Source organism: Homo sapiens, chromosome 21 (genome assembly GCF_000001405.40).
Source record: "Homo sapiens chromosome 21, GRCh38.p14 Primary Assembly".
Taxonomy (NCBI): domain Eukaryota; kingdom Metazoa; phylum Chordata; class Mammalia; order Primates; family Hominidae; genus Homo; species Homo sapiens.
Window position 1 is genome coordinate 29,355,768 of NC_000021.9, and position 24,010 is coordinate 29,379,777.

At 42.8% G+C, this 24,010-nt stretch overlaps 1 protein-coding gene and 1 long non-coding RNA gene across 2 annotated transcripts in view; both read left to right on the forward strand.

The window, feature by feature from the left end:
* Positions 1-6,127, forward strand: part of BACH1 (BTB domain and CNC homolog 1) — a 62,973-nt gene extending 56,846 nt beyond the window's left edge. The window contains exons 7-8 of the transcript NR_027655.3: positions 5,264-5,476; positions 5,785-6,127. The gene's annotated coding sequence lies outside the window, so the exon portion shown is untranslated. The remainder of the gene's footprint in view (positions 1-5,263; positions 5,477-5,784) is intronic.
* BACH1-IT2 (BACH1 intronic transcript 2) lies at positions 16,734-18,213 on the forward strand. The gene is made up of 2 exons (NR_046564.2): positions 16,734-16,796; positions 17,475-18,213. It is a non-coding gene; the product is annotated as a BACH1 intronic transcript 2 (long non-coding RNA).
* The last annotated feature ends 5,797 nt before the right edge of the window (positions 18,214-24,010 follow it).

The following is a 24,010-nucleotide window of genomic DNA, read 5'->3' on the forward strand; positions in this document are numbered from 1 at the left end:
TGGCTGCCACAGGACCTAGAAAGGGGAGAAGCCATGTTGCCCAACTCCAGAGGTTGGTATAAGAGTTTTGAAAGGCGTTGTCTGATTTCAGAAGCCTTTTCCTGTAAGCGCCAGGTGGCATCTCTTACTATCCCTGACTGATTAGTGTAAAAACAACACTCTTCCCCTAAGAAGATGCAGAGTCCTCCTTTCTCAGCAGTGAGGAGGTCTAGGCCTCAGCAGTTTTGGAGAGTCACTGCTGCCAAAGAGTCTATTTGGGATTGTAGAGTAAGGATAGATTTCGTTATTTCTTGCAAACTATCTGAGAAATCCTGTGAGAGTGTGTGGTAGTAGGATAATGAAGTGGATATACTGGCTATTCCGGTTCCTGTAGCAGTAGCCATTCCTAACCCTATTAAGTAGGGTATTAGTTGTATGGCTCTGCACTGACGGACTTGAGCTTTGAGGGGAACAGATAGGGTCTGATTTCCATAAAATTAGAAGTTAGTACAATACATGTTACACTGTTAACTTTTAGCAAACTTTTGTTGAAAACCTTGTAAGTTTGGGGTTTTAATTTTTCTTTGCTATTAATAAAACCTCATTCAGTCCATATTAACTTAGAATTGGTATAGATGGCTCCTTCCTGATACTGTAAGTACTTTAAGGTTTGGCTGAGTGCAAACAGCTGCATGTTTGAACAGACCAATTATTAGGCAATTTTCTTAACTGCTTCTACAAGAGTTTCCTTATCACTTACTGAATACCCATTGTGTCTTTTTTCCTTAGTAGTTGAGGAGGAACCGTATATTATCCTGTCCTGAAGGGAGTTCCTCCTAGATCTGGTCAGACCTTTGTATGGTAATTAATTAAGATTTAGATCCCCTGTTAGGAAACCTGCTGGGTTAAGGATTTTTGATAGGAAGGCTATGGGTTGTCAGTGGCTTCAGTGCTTTCGGGCTACGCCCTTGTTTACACTGACAACAAGGTGATATTGGAGTGTTACAGGGTTACAGAGAAGACCTTCAATTATCAATTATAGGTTTTAAATTTACCCTGGCTTTTAATGGAATAGGGTACACTGTTTTTCCTTTACTACTTCTATCTCTCTCTTTCTCTCTCTTTGACTTCTTCTTTGTCTCTTTCTTTCTCTCTTCCTTTCTGTTGCCTCTGCCAGCTGCTTATGTTGCTGTTTTCCCCTCTCCTTCCCCTTTTGATGGCTTTGGCAGTGTAAGACTGCCACCTCCTTGGGTTTTTACACTGCATGCAATAACTCCATGGTTTCTTTGTGATATTTAATGGGCGTTCCCCCAGAGGTTAGTAACTCCCTTTCTTTCCATATTGCAGCATGGGCATGTAGGATTAGATAAGCATACTTGCTATCTGTATACACATTTATTCTTCTTCCCTTTCCCAGTTCTAAGGCTCGGGTCAGTGCCACTAGTTCTGCTAACGGGGCGCTGGTCCCTGGGGGAAGAGGCTTACTTTCAAGTACTGTTACTGTGGCATAACCTGCCCTTCGTATCCCATTCTCCACAAGTGAACTTCCGTCGGTATATAGGTTAAGGTGAGGATTAGCTACGGGGACTTCTAAGAGATCATGTCAGGCGGCCTAAGTCTGGACTACAATTTGTTGGCAGTCACGCTCGATTGGTTCCCCATCCTCTGGGAGAAAAGTGGCAGGGTTGAGGGCCACGCATGTACATATTTGAAGCACCAGTCCCTCAATGAGTAGCGCCTGGTATCTGAGTAGGTGGTTGTCTGATAGCCATAAACTTCCTTTGGCACCTAGTATGCCATTTACATCATGAGTAGTCCAGACAGTGAGATCCTTTCCTTGTATTATTTTGATAGCCTCTGACACTAAGATGGCCACCGCCACAACTACCCTTAAAGAGTGAGGCCAGCCTTTCGCTACTACATCAATTTCCTTACTTAGGTATGCCACTGGTTGTGGGGTTGCCCCATGAGTCTGAGTAAGGACTCCAAGAGCCATCCTTGCTCTCTCTGTGATGCATAAAGAAAAGTTTCATCCTGTGGGAAGGCTTAAGGCTGGAGCTTGAGTTTGTTCCTTCCAATGCCCAGACTTCAGGGTTGATTCCCTCCTCAAGTAGGGGACAACAAATGGGTAACTCGTTCCCCATATTCATGTAGATAATAACTCCAGCTTTGGCTACTCCTACTGGATCTAGTGGAGTCAGCGTGATCCGCTTCTCCCACTCACCTAGTCCCCACACGCCCTGAGAGCTAGTCCCTGTGGTCTGATGTCCACCCCTCACTTCTTCTGCCCTTTCCTTATACTTCCCTGCTGGAGTGACTGGAAGTGGGGATGCTCTTCCCTGGACACAGGGGAGAAGGAGGGCCCCTGGGGTTGTCACTTCCTCTGCCCTTTTGGGTGGGGCAGGAAGGGCACATTTGATGTTAGCAATTCAGCGTAAAAGTGAAAACTAATTTGGCCTCAAGATTTAAGAGTCATCCAAACAACAGTTACAGGGCTAATATCTTTAATCTTTACACATTTGACAATATCCAATAAAAAGAACACCAAACTACATCAAGACAAAGGAGCAACAGACATGGGCCTGCAGAGGACAAAAGAGAAAACAGGAGCACTCAATAACCAGGAACTCAGGGACTTTGGAGGCAACCTGTGTGGGTTAAACATGCTTTTGAAGATTTTTATCATTATTTCTCATTAGAAATATAAAAAGTGGGCTGGGCGCCGTGGCTCACGCCTGTAATCCCAGCACTTTGGGAGGCCGAGGCAAGTGGATCACGAGATCAGGAGTTCAAGACCAGCCTGGCCAACATGGTGAAACCCCATCTCTACTAAAAATCCAAAAATTAGTTGGGTGTGGTGGAGGGCGCCTGTAATCCCAGCTACTGGGGAGGCTGAGGCAGGAGGATTGCTTGACCTCAGGAGGCAGAGGTTGCAGTAAGCTGAGATCACACCACTGCATTCCAGCCTGGGTGACAGAGTGAGACTCTGTCTCAGAAAAAAAGAAAAGAAAAGAAAAGAAAAGAAAAGAAAGAAAGAAAGAAAGAAAGAAAGAAAGAAAGAAAGAAAGAAGAAAGAAAGAAATGTAAAAAGTGCTAAATAGAAAGAAGTAAAAAATATATCAAATTAGAAAATAAAAAATGAGGGGGAGTGAAACTGGCATTCTAACACAAGGGGGGTAGTATTTAAAATAGCTTTTATGCTTTGGGGAAGCAGTTTGATATTTTATTTAAAACATTTTAAACTAGCCATAACATCAGACACAGTAATTGTATGCCAAGGAATCCATCCTGAAGAACAATAATCTTAAATTTTAGGACTATTATTAATCCATAATAATAATAATAAAAATTTCTTCTTATATCAAGATGTCCATCATAGCATTTATCATAGTAAATAATTTTGAATAGACCTTTAGAAATGGAAAAAAGCAAAGCACTATATTGTATCTCTACTCAAACTAAGATTTGACACTGTACTCGGCTCTTTTTATAATTTTTCCCTTAATCCTCACAGTAAAATCAAATGTTTGACACAATGATTGTCTCTTTATGAGTTTTTAGCTAACAAAATGTTTATGGTAAACATGGAATAAAATGAAAAATACTCATGACAGATGCTAAACATGAAAGCAAGTGATTTATGTATCTAGTATGATTATAACCAGGTATATCGAAATCTCTCTGTGAATAAAAAAAATTGAAGTCCATCTGGGGTGAACAGTTGTTATTTATTAAAATTTGCTTTTGCGAGTACTCATGAATCTTGAGACAATAACCACCACCACGATTATAAAACTATCAAACACGATTTTAAGCAAAGAAAGAAATGGGGAAAACCGTGAAAGGAAAATAAATCTCAAGACTCCAGAATCACTAAGCCAAAGGGAAAAGTCAAGCTGGGAACTGCATCAGACAAACCTGCCTCCCATTTTATTCCTAAATAAAATAACTACAAAGAAAAACAATAAAAATAAAAAAGCTACATACCTCCCTCACAATTTGCCCGTAAGGAAATTCCTTGTGAGCCTCAAAGATCTTTACCCTAAAACAGTTCTGTTGAACTTCATCCTGGCCATATTAATTGATACCTTATCTTCACAGGCCCAGGACAGAGGACAGACAGAACTCTTGATCATTGCTCTGCTCACCTGTGACAAATGCATTTCTCATTGCTTCCTCTGACCTATTGTTTATGTAAAAATGCAGATTCACTGAGTCAGACTAAGGCATCAGTGACTATTCCTCTATTCATTCCACCTCACATGTATTCAGTGAAAGGCTGATCGAAGACCCCAAAGAATGAAACCTTTTGTCCCTTATCTACCTCTGACCTGGAATCCCTTACTTCGAGTTGTTCCACCTTTCTGGACCAAACCAATGTACCTCTTATGCATATTGATTGAGGTCTCATCAATGTATAAAATCAAGCTAAAATGTATAAAACCAAGCTGTGCCCTGACCACTTGGGTACATGTCATCATGTACCCAAGACTTCCTGACGCTGTCATAGGCACGTCCTTAGCCTTGGCAGATAAACTTTCTAAATTAATTGAGACCTGTCTCAAATACTTTGGGCTCACAAAACGTAGCTGTCCATCAGGCAGATATCTAAAAGCAAGAAGTGATATTTTACTCAGCTAAAAGCTGCTATTTTGTCGGCGGCCTCAGAGGCCTTCCACAATGAACTCCCTCCCCAACCCTCTGGCCTCATTCCCAGGCCCCTGTCCTCTCCTGGGAACTCCTGGGAATGTCATGTTTGCCCCATTGTCATCTTGTCAGTGAGGCTCCCCTGACTGCCCTCATTAAGACTGCATCTGGCCAGGCGCAGTGGCTCACGCCTGTAATCCCAGCACTTTGGGAGGCCGAGGTGGGTGGATCACCTGAGCTCAGGAGTTCAAGACCAGTCTGGCCAACATGGCGAAACCCTGTCTCTACTAAAAATACAAAAATTACCCAGGTGTGGTGGCACACACCTGTAATCCCAGCTACTCAGGAGGCTGAGACAGGAGAATAGCTTGAACCCACGAGGTGGAGGTTGCAGTGAGCTGAGATGGCACCACTGCACTCCAGACTGGGGCAACAGAGCAAGACCCTGTCTCAAAAAAAAAAAAAAAACAAAAAAAAACCCCACATGCTTCCTCCTTCCTACCATTCTACCTCCAATCCCCATCCCCATATCCTGCCCTCTTGTTTTCTCTCTTTGTAATGCCTGCCACCTCCCAACATAGTATAGAATGAGCTTGTTTACTTAGTCTAGTGTTTAATGTCTGTCTCACTCCACTAGAATGTAATCATCGCAAGGCCAGGAGATGCGTTTGGTCTGTGCTGCATCTCAAGCAGGACAATGGCTGGAACATAGTAGGGTCTCCAAAAATGTTTGTTGAACGTTGCTGATGGCGGCATCCTGGAGTAGGAAAAAGACTGAAGAGTGGAAAAAGAAATCCTGACATGAATTCTGGGCAAAGGCAAGCAGTAGCTGACTTGGAAAATGATTACAGTAGGTTTTGTGCCATTTGAGTTATCAGTATTGCAGATGTTTTTGCACCTGCTCCACCAACAATAATTGGGTTAAGGCTTGCAGCTGGGATATTATACAGCTTGCTTTATCTAGGTTTTGTTTTGCTTGCAAATCAATCAATACTTACAATGATTTTAACAAGGGGAAAGAGCCGTAGTTGTAGACCTTGGAGTGTATTTTTTTTTGTCTAGCTTTAAAAAAAATTGTTAATGTTTTGATACTGTAACTCTTTTTAGTAGTTGTGGCTTTGCAGACCTTGCTGCACTTTGATCTTTTTCTCGTTCCAGCTATAGATGGCAGCACACCACTACCTACGATCCGATCACCAGCCTGGGTTTGTAAGTCAGAGCTGTTGGTCAGGAGATGGCAGCTAATGAGTAATCAGTCCAAACTGAATGGCAAATTAATGTCTTCATTAAGTGAACAAACCAGCTTCCTCCATAAACAAGGTCAGAGTATTTATAACCCAGTGTATTTCATAAAAGCAAAAACGCATCTCCATTTACATAACTTTACTATGGAGCTCATGATTTATCTGCACAAAGCATATGCAAAATCTCACTTGTATACCGTCTTTAATAAGGACCCATGCCATTCTGATGTAATTATTAATAAAGTCACACTTGATAAGCAGCCTTGTTTTTCTTACACAAGGTAAATGAAAAGGTGATTGCTTTAAACAAAAGCCACTCTTATAAGATGATATTGGGTGGCCTGTTCCAAATTGAGTTCTTAGTAATAAAAATGAAGTGTGATCCTTATTGATCAAATATATCTGCCACTTAGGTTCTATGAGAACTTACTTAAAATTTAGAGTTGGTTACACAGGTATAAAGTTTGATATTTACCATATGCTACATGTCACTTCAATTCAGTGAATTGAATGCTTAATTTTGCCATCCTTGTCAGAGAACAATGTAGAAATTTCAGAAACTTTTCACAAAATGACCAGGTGTCAAAGACTCTGAATTTCTGTTTCTAGATCAGTGTCATCCAGTAGAAATATAAAATGAGCCAAATGCAAGTTGCATGTGAAGTTTTAAATTTTCTAGAAACCACATGTTAAAAAGTAAAAAAAGAGGTGAAATTAATTTGAATACTGTACTATATTTTATTTAACCAGATATATCCAAAATATTATTTTTATCAGGTAATCTATATAAAAATTATTGCAATATTGCACATTCATTTTTTTTAATCTGGTGTGTATTTTACACTCACAGCTCATTTCGATTTAGATTAGCCAGATTTTAAGTGCTCAGTAGCCACATGTGGCTAGTTGGCCACATCATGTTCCGCTCGGCTCTAAAGACTTAGTGCCTGTTATGAGGGGAATTGTGTGCCCCCCAAATTCATGTGTTAGAATCCTAACCCCCACTACTTCAGAATGTGACCTTATTTGGAGATAGGGTTGTTACCAAGTAAAAACGAGGTCATTTTAGGGTGGACCTTTAGAGTGGATCCTAATCCAGTATGACTGATGTCCTTCTAAAATGCGGAGACTGGAGACAGGCTCACACACAGGGAGAACTCCATGTGGAGAGGAAGGCAGAGACTGGGTGATGCATCTCCAAGCCAAGGACCATCAAAGATCACCTTCATCCCCAGAAGCTAGGAGGGAGCCATGGAACAGTCTCCCTCACAGCCTCAGAAGGAACCAACCCTGCTGATGTCTTGATTTTGGACATCCAGCCTCCAGAACTGTGAGAGAATACATTTCTGTCGTTTAAGGCACACGGCCTGTGGTGCATTGTTATGGCAGCCCTAGTCAACCACTACAGAACCTTTGGTTGGTGGCTGCCATTGTTCCAAAGCTTTCCTCTCCTTGCCTTGAATCTCCTCTTCTCTTCCTTCTGTGCTTTCTCTTCTGGCCTCTCTGTCACTCAACTTTCCTGCCCTCTCTCATCGTTTTCCATAGGATCTCCCTCTCATAGCACAGAAGTAAGCAGGGAGTTTCTGTTGTAGTAAGCGGGAGATGGGTTCCACCTGAGCAGGGAGATGCCTGACTTGCTTCACGTCTCCAATGGGGATAATATTATCTGCCAGCTGTCCCCTGGAGCTACTGTTGTGTAGGTGAAGGGCCGACTCAGAAAATGCTTTGAAACCCATAAATAATGACATGGATGAGAATGAGTATTTTGTGTGTTTTACTTTCACATGTTAGGACTCAAAGGTGGAATGAAGTGTTTTCTAAGTTACTTTGGTTTCTTCTCTCTGTAATTATCTAGGGTTCCTACTTCATGGTAGGGAATGTGTGAAAGGGCATAGGCCCTGCCACTTTCTTGCCATCTGTCAGTAGTGGGCTTCTACGGGCTGCCTCCCAAGCATGTTTTATATCCTCTCTACCCAGCGCAGAACGGCCTCCCTAACTCAAAAACCACGTGTTAAGGTGATATGGATCCCACTCCCATCTCTAGAAGTGGGTCCCAAATAGGGTCACTGCATCAGATAATTCCAAGGGGTATCATCTTGATATTGTTTGGCTTTGTGTCCCCACCCAAATCTCATCTTGAATTGTAATCCCATAATCCCCACGTGTCATGGGAGGGAGCCGGTGGGAGATAATTGAATCAGGCTGGCTGTTTCCCTCACACTGTTCTCGTGATAGTGAGTGAGTTCTCAGGAGATCTGATTGTTTTATAAGCGTCTGGCATTTCCCCTGCTGCACTCATTCTCTCTCCTGCTGCCCTGAGAAGAGGTGCCTTCCACCATGATTGTAAGTTTCCCGAGGCCTCCCTAGCCATGCAGAACTGTAAGTCAATTAAATCTCTTTGCTTTATAAATTACCCAATCTCGAGTATTTCTTCATAGCAGCATGAGAACGGACCACTACACATCTGCATTGTCATAAATGTGTATAGTGAACTTGAAGTTGTGCAGTGCACAACCTGCACAGTCATATCTGATAGCCCCAGTCCTGTACAATTAAATCATTCAGGCAATCCCGTCTCTCTGACCGTAGTCATAGGTACAGAATGGGTACTAAAATCCCGTAAAGCTGTGAGGAGAGATTGTCCGGGGTTACTGAGAAAAAAACCAAAAAACAAAAAACTCTTGCCTTCTCCAGGGACCTACTGATAGACGGCATTCTGAGTGTGATATAAACATATAAGGCTGGCAGCTGTGCTCATGAGAGAAGGGCCAGTACCTTTTGCGAAGTCACTAGGTGGACCTTGAGGAATAAGAGAGCAGAGATCTGAGAGAGCCAGGGCTTGTGCTTATGCCTCTGGATCAAGCTTTGCCTGAAGCACCTGTGCAGTTTGTTACATGAGCCCATGTATTTGCTTTATAGAATTGGTTTGGGTTGGATTTTCTTTCCCTTGCTACCCAAAGAATTCTAAATGCTACACTGGAGATGGAAGTAAAGAAAGGGGGAGATAGAGATATGTTTCTGGTTGACAGTGCAACAACTATCAAAAACAAAAACAAAGCTTCTTCAAGCATCCACAACCATTGCCACAGCAATTTGAATTACATTTTCTAATGAAAACCAGGCCAAATGATCGTTAACATTCTCAGCTAACTCACAGCAATGTTCTTAAGTCCATTTGTGATTGTCCAATGCTAAAAATGTATACCAGTTGGCATTAAAAACCTAAACTATTTCTACCACTGTATGGCTTTTAACTAGAGGTTTGTGGTCTACCCTGAAAACTTAATCTACTATGCATATCTTTATTTCTAAACTAATACGTTCTTTTGAGTTCAGCCTACCTAAAAGCATACTTCTGGTGTACTGCCTATTTGTAAATTGAAACTTGTCATAAGTATAATAACATTGCCCCCATTGTTCGTATTAATTCATAGCAAGGGGGAACACTACTGTATAGATGTTATAAATGCTTAGGCAAGGGAGACCATTCAGCTCTTAACCCAATTTCCTGCTGCAAATATCAAAAGTTGGATCAACATATGCCCCTAGTTACAAAGATGTAACATTATTTCTAAAGTCTTCAGCAGCAGAATCCTAAAGGGCCCCTAAATTTCAGTCTTAACTTTGTTCCAGCCACATCCCAGCTGTTTCTCCCAAGTACTTCATCACCTGCAGGCTGTTTTCAGTTCATTATGGGACCAAGGAGAGGCCACTGGGACAGTATATCAATAGAACAATCCTTGCCAAATAATGATATTTGGAAATAGGCTGGGCACGGTGGCTCATACCTATAATCCAAGAACTTTAGGAGGCTGAGGCAGGAGAATTGCTTGAGCCTAGGAGTTGAAGGCGGCAGTGAGCTATGATTGCACCACTGCACTCCAGCTTGGGTGACAGAGCGAGACCCTGTCTCTTAAAAAAAAAACAGTTTTTGGCTACTTTGTAACTGAAATAGATCAATCCCTACAATGTCCTTCCCAGGGAGGCCAGGCTCCTAGCCTAGCCTCTTTCTGCCTGCCTCTCTTTGGTGCGTGGGTTTTTCTGTTGTGCCCCTTCCCAAGGCAGGAGCTGGCATCTCTTTCCCTCCTGCAAACTCAGTCCCATGGATCCTCTTCTTGTTGTTTTCTGCACTGATTTTGTATCGATTCCTCTGGAGCAAACATTGGAAGCTGCTGTCGGATATGCCAGGGCTCTCTGCCCTGTTGTGTTCTGTGTTGCTAGCTGAAGATTACTCCCGGCTTTGTTTCAAGACCCTTGGAACCAGAATAGAGGTGACGCTGTCCTGTTTGTACTCTCTCTGGCTGTGATTTTTAAATCCTTGTTCTGAGCCTGCTGTGTTTTTTTTTGTTTTGTTTTGTTTTTTCTCCTCTGCCTCACTTTTCTAGCTCATTGCCTTCTATATCTTCCGCTGGCTCAGTTTGCCTGAGCCCTCTGCATTTGGCACTAAATCGTAGTTTATTCTAATCCTTTGCCTGGAAGCTGATGCTGGTAACCAGATGGCAATAAAAAGACACTGAATGCAACATTTCTACCTGTGAGTTGAGAGACAATACTCGTTACTTCCTGGGAAAACAGTTGGTGTTTTTCTCAGTTGGGGTAAAATGATATTTCTAAAAATCCTATTGTTTTCTTACTTGGATAAATGTTAAAATATGTTTATTAGAAAGTATGCTTTTAAATTTTTTTTAGTCTAAAGAAATATTGCTGCTTCTCAGAGTTTTGGCAAATATTGCTTTTCATTTGTTCTTCTTTTCCTGTGTCTTCTTTCTTTTCACTCTCTTACCACCTATAGATTTAAATTCCATGTCATTTTATTATTATTTACTGTATTAACTAAACTCACTTTTTATTTAGTTCAAAAAGATGGATGTGTGGAGTATTTTAAATTTGGCTCTTAAAACCACAGTGTATTACAGATTAGAAAGCTATTATTTTTTCTGACATCCAGCAGGCATCATTTCTGTTTTTTAGCTATCTGACAGCTTGGGGACAGATACGGGCCTTTGTTACGAACTGGGCCAGAGTATTCTTTCTCGAGACTTTTCAAACTAGAGCTAGAAGAGAGGTGCCCCCTGTATTAGTCAGCTACTGCTGCATAACAAAGAACCATAAAATCAGAGTCACTTAAAACAGTGAGCACTTATTTACTTCACATCTCTTCAGGTCTGATGAGTGGGCTCCACTGATCTCAGCAGGCCTGCTCATGTGTCTTTAGGCTGGCAGTGGGTGGTTTGATTTAAGGATGTCTCTAGTCCACACTGCATGTTTGCACATCTGTTGCCTATGTCTTTGCTATGGTTTGGATATTTGAGCCCTCCAAGTATCATGTTGAGATTTGATCTTCAATGTTGGAGGCAGGGCCTGGTGGGAGGTGTTTGGGTCCTGAGGGAGGATCCCTCATAAATGGCTTGGTGCCATTCTTGTGGGGATGAGTGAGTTCTCATGAGAGCTGGGTTTTGAAAAGAGCCTGGCACCTCCTCCTCTTTCTGTCTCTTGCTTCCTCTTTCACCACGTGGCTCCCCTTTACCTTCCACCATGAGTGGAAGCAGCCTGAAGCCCTCACCAAAATCAGATAGATACCAGTGCCGTGCCTGTACAACTTGCAGAACTGTGACCCAAATAAATTTTTTTTCTGTATAAACTGCCCAGCTGCAGGCATTTTTTTTTTTTTGTAGCAACGTCAAAACAGTTTAAGTCAGTCTTTAACCTTTTAGCAGACTAGTTGGGGAATATTCCACAAGAGAGCAAGTGAGAACCTGCAAGGTCACATAGACCTAGGCTGTGAAGGGTCATGTTATGACTTATACTCTTATGCCATTAGCCAAAGTAAGTCAAACAAACAAGCACAAACTCAAGGCACAGGCATACACCACCCGCTAGGAGGCCATGCCAAGGGTGTGGATACATGGAAGGGTGAAGAACTGGACTAGTCTTTCAATACCACAGCCCCTTTCTTCTCTAGGCGTGGAGCTGCTAGGAGTGAGCCCCACATCAGACATCTGTCTCTGGTAGGAGAAGACAGTCAAGATCCAGAGAGATGCAATGGAAGACAGGATGGGAGAAGGTCCCAATCATTTTCTAGTTATTAATAACAGTTTTGGCTGTGCTTAGATTGCTGCACTTGGGAGGTTTGGTTAATCAACTTTTTGTTTTGTTTTGTTTTGTTTTGTTTTTGTTTTACTAGGAGGTAGGCTACTCCACAATCCCTCCAAACTCTTCTTTCTTGCATTAATTAGTATAAACTGCATTTCTGGTACTTGCAACCAAAGGGTTATGACCCATCTATACTGTTTTTTCTAGATCAGATGGTTTTTATATCAAAAGTTGCTGTCCCTATCCCAATGCAAAGCTTTTTTAGGTTGATTTTTAGGGGGATAAAATCTTTCATATTGAAAATAAACATTATCACCTATATATCACAGGTTATTAGTTTATTAAGTTAAACTGAACCACATAAGTTTCAAATAAAAGTGTTACTGAATTTGCAGTAAAAATTACACATAATTAGTGTAAATTAGGAAAGATATAAAACAGTTGGCACAAAGCAATAGCATCCATACTTTTAGCCCATTAATTTTATCCCTAGGAATTTACCTCAATAAAATAATATAACAAAAGCAAATGCTCATATACATTACACAATTTATGACAACTGTGATAATAATAAATTAAAGGGACATGTCTAAATTAAGAGAATGTGTTAACAAATTATGTTAGTTTATCAGGATGGAATATTATGTAGTCTTTATGTTAATTAAGAACATTCTATAAAATTTCAAAATCCATTTATGACGTAGTACGTGAAAAAGCAAAACAAAATGCAAAATTACAGGGACATCCAGACTAGGTATATAATTTTCTTTTTGTACGCAGCACAACCATTTTCTTTTTGTGTGCAGTAGAAAAAAACATTTCAAATCTACCTGTAATTTTCTCTTGTTCCGCTAGGAGACATGCATCATCTTTGATTAAAATTATTCTTCACTGGGACCTTTATTTATGCAAAGGCAAAATTCTATTCTAGACTCAAGAAGCTCGAGCCAGACATCCTAAACATTTCTGAATAGAATTATCAAAGGCTGAATTTGTCATGTGCAGAATTGCATCTTTTTAGGGTTATGATGCTGTTGCCTGTGGGTGAGGATGTGGTGGATAACGCCCTTCTTGCAGTGAGGATAAGGGGGGTTGGAGAAGGTACCCAGGGGACTGGTGGCTCATGGTAATTGATGGACTAGGGGAGGCCACGTAGAGAGGACGCCGGTGGAGAGGCATGGCTGATGGACAGAACTCCAGGAGCAGTGATAGTTCATATCCAGTACAGTATTTTTCTTTTTCTCCATTATAATTCTCCTCATTATTCTCAAGCCAACAGGAAATTGTCTTAAATGTTTATCCAGATATTTGCTGTACTTTTGGAAATTAAGGGAGGAGCCTGTAACTCTCCTTGCATAAAACAAGAGCCTGACTTGTGTGAAAAAGTGATAAGAAGATATTCAGTAGAGATCTGCGGGGAAGTCTCAGAGCAGAGGTCCAGAATAAGTTAAGTGTGGACTGCATAAGAATTCCATCGGTATGGTAGACTGTATTTCTGTTTGCCAAATATTTTACTTTTCCTCCGTCTTTTGCCATGGAAGGAGTTTACTCTTCAACTCTGCCAGACTCAAGAGAGGCCATTCGCTTTGCTGTGGCCGATGAAATGGGAGCAGCAAAAACATTTATCATTTCTGGGAACCAGTGTACTGTTCTCCATGTCTCCCTTCTCTCACCCTGGACCTGATAATATTCCAGCTGGTTGCTGCTCCATCATCCTGGAACCTACAAGTTTGGGGAGGGCGTCAAAGCCAGAGGCAACTTTCATTCAACATGTTATGTGAGTGTGATGGTTAATTTTATGTGTCAACTTGACTGGATCATGGAGTGGCCAGATATTTCACTAAGCTTTTCTGGGTTTGTGTGATGATGTTTCCAGATGAGATTTGCATTTGAGTCAGTGGACTCCATAAGATAGATTGCCCTTCCCTGAATGGAAGTGTATTAGCCAATTTGCTGAGAGCCTGAACAGAACAAAAGATGGAGAAAGGAGAATTCACCTCCTCTGCCTGACTGATTGAGCTGGGATATCAGTCTCCTTCTGCCCTCAAACTGAGACTTAAACCATCAGCTCCACTGGTTCTCAGGCCTTGGGTCCGAAACCAAACTACACTACCAGCTTTCCTGGGTCTGCAGCTTGCAGATGGCAGAGCATGGGACTTCTTAGCCTTCATAATCAAGCGAGCTAATTCCTCATAATTAGTCCATCTGTGTTAGTCCATTCTCACACTGCTATGGAGAAATACCCGAGACTAGGTAATTTATAAAGAAAAGCGGTTTAATTGACTCACAGTTGTGTATTGCTGGGGAGGCCACAGGTAACTTACAATCATGGCGCAAGGTAAAGGAGAAGCAGGCACCTTCTTCACAAGGGTGGCAGGATAGAGTGCAAGCTGGGGAAATGCCAGATGCTTATAAAACCATGAGATATCGTGAGAACTCACTATCACAAGAACAGCTTGGGGGAACTGCACCCATGATCCAATTACCTCCACCTGGTCCTGACCTTGACACATGGGGATTATGGGGATTACAGTTCCTGGTGGGATTTGGGTGGGGACACAGAGCCAAACCATATCACTATCTCTCCCCCTCATCCCCTCTCTCTCTATTAAATCCCTTATTGGTTCTGTTTCTCTGGAAAACCCTGAATACAGTGGGAAAGAGGTAAACCTTTGTGGTTGTAAGCTACTGAGACTTTGGGGTTATTTGTTACTGTAGCATGATCTGGCCTATTCTAATTTATACAGTGGGATTTTTTTTTCCCCCACAAACACTAAGGAAGTAGCATGTGGAAGGCCAGACCTTCTGTTGCCATCAGTAGGGGGGTTTCTGTAGTCTGAGGACCTATGAGCCTTTTGGGTTACCTTTGACTTGCACTTGGGCTTTTATGTTGATGCCAAGCAGTATGTTTATACTTCTCTAAAATGTATTTTTCTCTATATAAATAGTGTTTTTGTTAACTCTCACCGGCTCCAGTCTCAACTTTTGCCTCTAATTTTTCCCATAATATTCACTAACTCTAGTGATAGCTGTCTATGCGCATTGTACTGAGACTAATTCAGAGAGTGGGTTGGATGAACTTTGGTTTGATTTGTACGTAATTGTTAAAAACTGTGTTTAAGAAAACAGTTGTACCCTTGGCAAAACCTGGAAGTCTCTATGTTAACAATTTTCCCAATTTTTGTTTTAGGAAGCCATTCTGCATATTATGTTTTTAAATAAAAGGATTTGACTTTGGGCTGACAATTTAGCATTTAACCACTGTCTCCGCACCAGTTCCACAAGAGCAGGGATTTAGATTAATTGGAAAAACCTCATTGGTTTCTGATGGAGGGGGCATTCATAGAAACAACCTACTGACAACTAAGGAGCTACTGCGATGGGATGGGCAGCCTGCAGCTTCACTCGGTGGGCAGCCTCCACAGGTACTTTAATTCCTCGCTCTTCTGGCCAGGCATCTCTTGGTAAAGGCAGGTAGAGGAAGCAAAGCAATTACCTAGATAATTAAGGAAAAACAAACCTGTATGTGGCAGGTAACTTGGGGAGCTGCTTCTGATTTTCTAGGCAACTATTTTCATTCTTCACTTCTCTGGTGTCAGCAGGAATCTGAGCTAGATCCCAAGAGCAACTCGAACAATTACAATGCTCTCAGTTGGCAAACCCGGCTTCATAGCAACTTCCCTCCTCATTGATCTAGAGTTTGAAATAGCTTTGTCAGATCTCGGGTGTGTTCCTGCTGATTTATGGCAAAATCCCAGTAACAGCTGTGAAAATGTTTGTCCATTTGTGAAACTTCAGAAAGCGGGTCTAGCAAATCATTCTCACCTGGTGATTCTGGGGCAAGGTGAGAACTGTACCCTCACAGGCCGGGTGAATAAGATTCTAGTTGCGGTGGAGGCCAAGGAAGAAGATGTACTATGAGTCAATCTCTCTATGAGGCATTTGCTGAACCTTCCCCTCCTACACCTTCCTACAAGGCAGGTCCGATGACTTTTACTTTACAGATGAGAAGATGGAGCCTCCACAAGGCACATAGCTGGTGAGTGACAAAACCAGAATTCAAACCCAGATCCATTTGATAGTGACATTTGTTTCCACTACCCTAGTGGCTCTGGGGGAAGCCAGGACACCCATATTTTTGTAAAGTCCCGTAGTTGTTTCTAGTGTCATCCGGGTTGGAAACTGTATATTAAGTCAGTGGTTCTCAAACTTTAGCATGCATTAGTATCCCCTGTTAGGCTTGTAAAAACACAGATTGCAGGCCCCACACTTAGATTTCTGACTTGGTAGGTAGGTCTGAGTTGGGAACCAGGAACTTGCCTTTCTAACAAGTTCCCAAGTGATGTTGATGCGGGGGCCTGGGCACTACACTATGGGAACCACCACCGCATTAAGGTGAACTCAGAGCTGAATCTGACATGAAAATCTGCATTAATGGAGATGACATCAGATATCTGCAAAGTCACTTAATAGAGAACGGTTGAGACTAAGTCTTGACTAATATTAAAACTAACACATCTAAAAAGACTATGTCCATCACAGGTGGGTGGTCAGAATAGAAACATTACATAATGGGAAAGAAAATGTAGCTGATGCTATTCATCTAGAAGGAAGAAGTGATGTAAGGGTCAGTTTCCACCTTTGCTTTGAATTCCTTGGACAGCAAGCAACCATATGAGCATTAATTTGATTTATGTTTTTCAGGTATCGTATCTGATTTCAGATACATATGATGGTCTCAAGTGTGTTTTTTACCACCACCACTTTGTAGGCCTGTTGATGCCACTGCTGTTGAAGTCTATGTGAATGGTGCCCCCTGGTGGAAGGAAAAAGGTAGTTTATTACAGTCCGTTGTAAATGAGTGACCTAGCGTTGTTATCATGCTCTGCTCCTAGAGACCACTCCACTCACCTTAAACTAGCGAGCCTGAGGACCGGTCCCGGGGACCCATGAGAACATGATCTCCGAGAGCCCTGCCCTTGAGAAAGGTTCTCCTCAGCAATACTCCAACTCACCCCAGACCTAAAATTTTTTTTTTTTTTTTTGGAGACAGAGTCTTGCTCTGTCGCCAGGCTGGAGTGCAGTGGCATGATCTTGGCTCACTGCAACCTTTGCCTCCTGGGTTCAAGCAATTCCCTTGTCTCAGCCTCCCGAGTAGCTGGGACTACAAGCGCACACCACCTCGCCTGGCTCATTTTTTGTATTTTAGTAGAGACGGGGGTTTCACCATGTTGGCCAGGATGGTTTCGATCTCCTGACCTTGTGATCTGCCAGCCTTAGCCTCCCAAAGTGCTGGGATTACAGGCGTGAGCCACCATGCACGGCCCTAAAATTCTTAAAACGTGAAAATGGGGGAAGATGGTTAACACATCCATATGCTATCATGATATATATCTTTCTTCTTAGTTGTATGGGATGAAATGATGCCAAGATTTTCCTTACAGAGTAGGGATTGTGACTGAAGCCTTTGGACAGGTATTTAGGCCCTTATGAGTGTCCCCTCTTGTCTAGAGAATGGGACGCCAGGAATGTCAGATGCTTTTCAGCCTCTCCCCTGCTCTCACGCCTAGAAACAAGAGCTCCACAAAGGTCTCTCATTCCTCAAGGCTGATGAAAAGCCCAGCAGCTAAATGGCCAGAAGCCTGTCTTTGTGAGAAAGCAAGAAGTCTCTCGGTTTGAACTCTTCGGTCTAGAGACAGATTCTTCTACCAGTGGTGTAAAACCCTAAAGAGGCTCTGCATAAGACCTACCACTGCTCTGTGTCTCATGACACCCTGCCCCCACCACTGGAAGGCCACACTTATTCTTTGTGTTCATGCTTCTCTATGATCTGCAAGTTTCCCAAGAACACCTGGATTCGAAGCTCAAGTCCACCGCTAAATAGCTATGTGACCTAATGTGTCAGATGGTTATAAGGATTACAGAGAAAGAGGTATAGATAGAGCTGGTAGCAGTGACAGACACATCTTTACATCATATAATTCTGACATGCATTATTATTGTAGTTTTCTGTTATTCAGACATACTTGTTAAGAAGGTGCTGGGGACAATTTGTACATGCTGGGTATGAAAGGGCTTGGAAAGTATTTCATGAATGGAGTTGGCATTGAGGAGTCCAATCCATGTACAATGGGTAGAATTAGAAAGGCATTGAGGATAGTGTATTAGTCTGTTTTCAAACTGCTGATAAAAACATACCTGAGAGTGGGTAATTTATAAAGAAAGAAGAGGTTTAATGGACTCACAGTTCCATGAGGCTGGGGAGGCTTCACAATCATGGCAGAAGGTGAAAGGCACATCTTACATGGCAGCAGGCAAGAGAGAATGAGAGCCAAGGAAAGGGGGAAACCCCTTACGAAACTGTCAGATCTTGTGAGACTTATTCACTACCTTGAGAACAGTATGGGGGAAACCGATTCAATTTTCTTTCACCGGGTCCCTCCCACAACACATGGGAATTATGGGAGCTACAATTCAAGATGAGATTTGGGTGGGGACACAGCCAAACCATATCAGGTGGTTACATAAGAGATCCAGTAGAGAGGTGGGAACTCCAGAGGAGATAACTCACCTGGAAAGTAGGCAATCAGGAATATAGGATCCCAGTATGATGAAAAAAAAGGGGCTGTGGGTATGGGAGGCATATCTCAGAGAGAAGAAACACTGCTGTTCATGCCTGTGAAACCCAAGGTTTCCCCTTCCTCTTAAGGGTTCTCTCCCTCTAATGAGAGTTGTTTACACTGCTGATTAGAGACTATTAAGGTCTAGAAATCAATTTGTGTGGGGTTGTGGCCAGCATTTAAAAAACAGAACAGAATATGAAATATCAATGTGCATTGCACATAGTGAGTAAATATTACTTTATGAAACTTTAATCAATTACACATGTACATGTTTATAGGGGTATGATGTAAAGTGTATCATTCCTATGGGTCTTGGTACAAGGAGTTGAGAGCTGCGTCTCTAGTGAATCTACTGGGGTGGGGAGTTTTCTCATGTCTGCTCTTACAAGGTCCTCTTGACTATTTACTTTCCAGGATGGTTTTTCCCCATCAGCCTTTTCTGAGGGTCTGAGTCAGTTTGGGCTGCTATAACAAAGTACCATAGATTGTGTGGCTTAGAAATTACAGAAATTTATTTCTCATAGTTCCAAGATTAGGATGTGAGCATGGTCGGATGCTGATGAGGACCCTCTTCCGGGTCACAGCCTGCCGTCTTCTTGTATCCTCAGAAAGAGAGAAGAGCCGGGCACGGTGGCTCACACCCGTAATCCCAGCACTTTGGGAGGCTGAGGCGGGTGGATCACTTGAGGTCAGGAGTTCAAGACCAGTCTAGCCAACTTGGTTAAACCCCGTCTCTACTAAAAAATACAAAAAATTTGCTGGGCCTGGTGGTGTATGCCTGTAATCCCAATTACTTGGGAGGCTGAGGCAGGAGAATTGTTTGAACCCGGGAGGTGGAGGTTGTGGTGAGCCAAGATCATGCCACTGTACTCCAGCCTGGGCAACAGAGTGAGACTTCATCTCAACAAAAGAGAGAAAGAAAGGAAGGAAGGATGGAAGGAAGGAAGGAAGGAGAGAACTCTTTGGGGACTCCTTTATAAGGTCACTAATTACAACATAAGGGATCCACCTTCATGACCCAATCACCTATCAAGGCTCCTCCTCCAAATACCATTGCATTGGAGGTTAGAATTTCAACATATGATTTCTGGAGGGACATAAACATTTAGTCCATAACACTGAGTTAAAGCAGGTACCTATTCACTCTCCTTCTAGTCGGGGCCTGGAGCACAGGCCACCTTCTGATGCACTGTTGCCACCTCTGCAAAGTCTGAGCAGTGAGGACTGGGTGGAGGGAGGTTGAACATGGGGAAGCTGCCCTTTCTCTCTTTTATTTTATGACCCAGCCTGTTACTCATTTCGAACTTGATATTAAAGCTGTACCAAATTTTATTACAGTGTTTGAGAAACTATAAGAGAAAGAATTTTTTTTTTTTTTTTGAGACTGAGTCTCACTCTATCACCCAGGCTGGAGTGCAGTGGCATGATCTCAGCTTGCTGCAACCTCCACCTCCCGGGCTCAAGTGATCCTCGTGTGTCAGCCTCCCGAGTAGCTGGGACTACAGGCGTGCACCACCACACCTGGCTAATTTTTGTATTTTCAGTAGAGATGGGGTTTCACCATGTTGGTCAGGCTGGTCTCGAACTCCTGACCTCAAGTGATTCACCCACCTTGGCCTCTCAAAGTTCTGGGATTACAGGCGTGAGCCACTGTGCCCAGCCTAGAGAAAGAATTTAAACCTATCTGCTTCATTCTACTTTTCCAGAAGTCCAAGGAAAGAGTGTCCTGGAATTTAAACCCTTGGCACGGGTCACTTCCTAGATGCTCCTGGTTCATCATTGTGCTTCCCTGACCCCAGGGCCACACCCTTTGCTGCAGAAGGACATTTTTTCCAACTTGAGCCCTGCAAACATTTATTTATTTTGTGGGGAAGTTCTACTCTGTACCCACAGAGTTTCATAAATTTTTAAATCCACTTCTGAGTATTTATAAAAAGCCAGTGAAGTTTTAAAAATCCATTTCAGATCCAATAGATTCCCCTTTACCTCCTCCCACCTCTGCAGAGCCCTGATCATGCTTCTCCATGGGGACTTAGAGTTGGGAGAAGGCTTGATCTGCTTTTTCTCTCCTTACTCCCCTCTCTCGGGACACTCTTCCCTTTGAGTGGGGAAGAAAGATGGAAAGGGATGAAGCCGTCATTCTGGATGATAGCTTTCCCTTGCTTGTTGCCTCTTTGGCTGAGATAGACCCAGTGGGGGTGCTCACTGATGGTGGGCGTCCCAGGCTGGTTCCTTCTTGGAGTACATATGTGGGTTCTATATAGGCCATTCAGGGTTAGGGAAGGGTTCCTCCCTAGGTTTTGGCCCAATTCTCTAACGTGAGAGATCAGCTCTAGCTCAGTCTTCTGAGTCCCACCCCAGCTTTTGCTGGCAATAATACGCCCTGCCATTTCCTGTTGCTGGGACTGCCACCTTGTGGTGGCCTTCTTGTTTTGGGTACAACAGGACAGCTCAAGCTCAGCTGCCTCCTGCAGTGTCCCCCTGAGCCACAGGAAACTCAAGCTTCCTTGTAACACTGAATAGCAAAAGGGCTTGCTTCCCATTGCTGGCCCCTCTCTGTCATGTAAGTTTTTATCTCCCCTGCCCATAAGCAGATATCCCACTGTAGATCAAGACAAATCCTCTTATTCCTGACACCTGCAATGGCTATGAGTGCTTCCCTTCCTTTCTTCTCTTCCTTCCTGGAAAACATCAAGGCTGTCTGTACTGATGACCCACAAAAAGCAACCCCTTTTCTCCCCCTCTTCCCAATCTTCTGCTTGTATGGGGTAGGGGAATGAGAGGGGCCTGGGGATAGTTGGGAGCAGCAGAGCTGGTTATGTCCAACCTAATAAAAAGTCTTCGGGGAGTATATGGCCTCCAGCTGTTGGCAGCTCTCTTCAGAATGAGAGATTCTTGATATGTCTTTGCCTTTGACTCTGGGTCTTGGTCACCAATTCTGCAACAATGAAAATAGTCCCATCAACACCACTGTATGCAGGACAAAAGATCCATATTATCTACCTGTCCACTTTGAAGACTTAAGTTGAAAGTCTCTGGAACTGAAGTTTTGAAATGGCCACGAACATGCCTGAGCACACTGCCAGGAAATGGTGCGTCAAGAGAAGCCTGTTCGATTGTACAAAGGCCTGTGGCCTTGAAGGGTGACCTGGCCCACAGTACAGCAGCATCACTGTCCCCTAGTAGATATTTTCGAGTTAAGAGCAGAAATTAAAAATGCACAAAGTTAGGAGAGGAACACTTGTTTTCCAGAACCAGGAAAGGCATTTTGGTATATAATGCATTTCCATTAAGTAGAAGTAACTTGAAAAAAATTCATATTACATTTACTATAAGAGTTTAGTTGCAGAAACCCCAGAATTTATTGGATTTCTAACTTTTTTTTTTTTTAAAGTATTTTAAAACTGTGTCTATATTATTTGGCTATTTTAGTAAATAACTCACCATACTTGTGTGTAAGTGCAAATTCTTGAAGTTTTTTCTTTTTTCAAATGGAATCTGTTAATTTATTATCATAGAAATAGGATTACCTGTTGTAAAAAATTCAGCTGGTAAAAACATGTACATTAAATGCACCTTCAGGCTATTTTTTTTTTTTTTAACCTGAAGTAGAAGTTACTGTGGAAGGCCAGGCACAGGTAGATCATTTGAAGTCAGGAGCTCGAGACCAGCCTGGCCAACATGGCGAAACCCCGTCTCTACTAAAAATACAAAAAAATTAGCCAGGCATGGTGGTGTGCGCCTGTAATCCTAGCTACTCAGGAGGCTGAGGTGGGAGAATCACTTGAGCCCAGGAGGTGGAGGTTGCAGTGAGCAGAGATCACACCACTGCACTCCAGCCTGGATGACAGAGTGAGACTCTGTCTCAAAAAAAAAATAGAAGTTATTGTGGAAGGGTGCAGGGGCCTGTTACCATATGAAGTGGTAAAGACAGTGTCTCTGCCCTAAGCACCATCCAGAAATACCCCCTAAACCTCTATCGCCATGACGTTTTGAACGGGCCATGGGGGTAATGCTCATATTATCAGTGGGGATGGCAGGCCTCTTGTTGAAGTAGTCAGAATCAATGCCCTCCTTTATCCTCTCCATCCTGTTCTCTGCACAGCCTTCCTTTCCTGATGCCCCCCAAGCATCCCTGATGCTCTGATCACTGCGTTGATGTATCTCTTTCATGGCTAAAGGCCCCAGTGATTCTCCCTGTAGTCCACTTAGGTGACTAACATGGAGGTGTGACTCTGAGATTCATAGCTCCCTTGTGGCTCTAACTTATCAGGAAAAGAGTAGCCTTTTCTCATCAGGGCTACTTTTGCTTTGATTCCATCTTTCAGGTTCTCATGACTTCCCAATTCACATAAAGCTTGACACAAATTACCCAGTGCCTAGACAGTAAGAAAACATCAGCCTACCTGGAAAACTACATCCCAAATCATGTATTCTTGACAACCACCAGTTTTGGGGGATTGCCCTGACCCTCTTGCTTTAGAGTGAGGTGCCATTCAAAATGCATATTTAATAACCAGTTGTCTTGGGTGCCTGATCAAATCAGTAACTGACCAATCAGTATGGCCAAACCATTGCGTACTGGCTGAATATCAGATTGGGCGGGAGGCCAAACAGACAGGCCTCTGGGCCATGTTTCCAGTAGATTAGTTTTGTTTGGTATTCGGAGTGATTTTGAAATATGGTATGTGTTTGAGAGCCTTTAGGCTAAGCAGGCATTCTTCAATTCCCAGTCTCCCCTCTTGTTCCCTGTCCTAGAGTTGGCTGGCTTTACTCATTTATGTTACCCTGGGTTGCTGAAAAGCATCTGCTTGTGCTAGGCTGCTCTAAACCTTTCCTTGTGGCCTGGTCTCTATCCGGCAGCTGATAGGTCCAATTTGTTTCTTACTACGTCCTCTCAGCTTGTCTCCATGTGCATAGGCCTTCATACAAGAGGAATTATATGAAGCCCCCATTCGTGGGGCCTAAATTTCCATAGAGGTAGGCTTCTTATTCTGGATCTGAATTATACCAATATTTCTGTGGCACATTAAATGATAATTTATTTGGAAATGAGAGACTGCATATACAAAGACAATGGCCAGACTGTATATGAAAATAGAACAGCTTACACCTACCTGCCCAGAAAACCAACTCCTTGTTTCTAACAAACAGCCCAGGAAACCAGCCTGCTTTAAGTCAGACTTGGAGGGGGTCAGATGCTATCTAGGGCAACGGTCTAGGAACTTAACAATCACTTCTGGAACAATTGGTCTAAAACGGCCAGGACTTGAAGAATGACTGACAGCTTCCCTAATTCTTGTCCCCACTTCCAACTTAGGACCAACCAGAGAAATGCAAATATGCAACAGGATGCCAGTTTCTAGCTAGGCGGCCCACAGCTTCCCCATGCCAGCTGCCTGCAATCAAGGCACATGAGAAGGC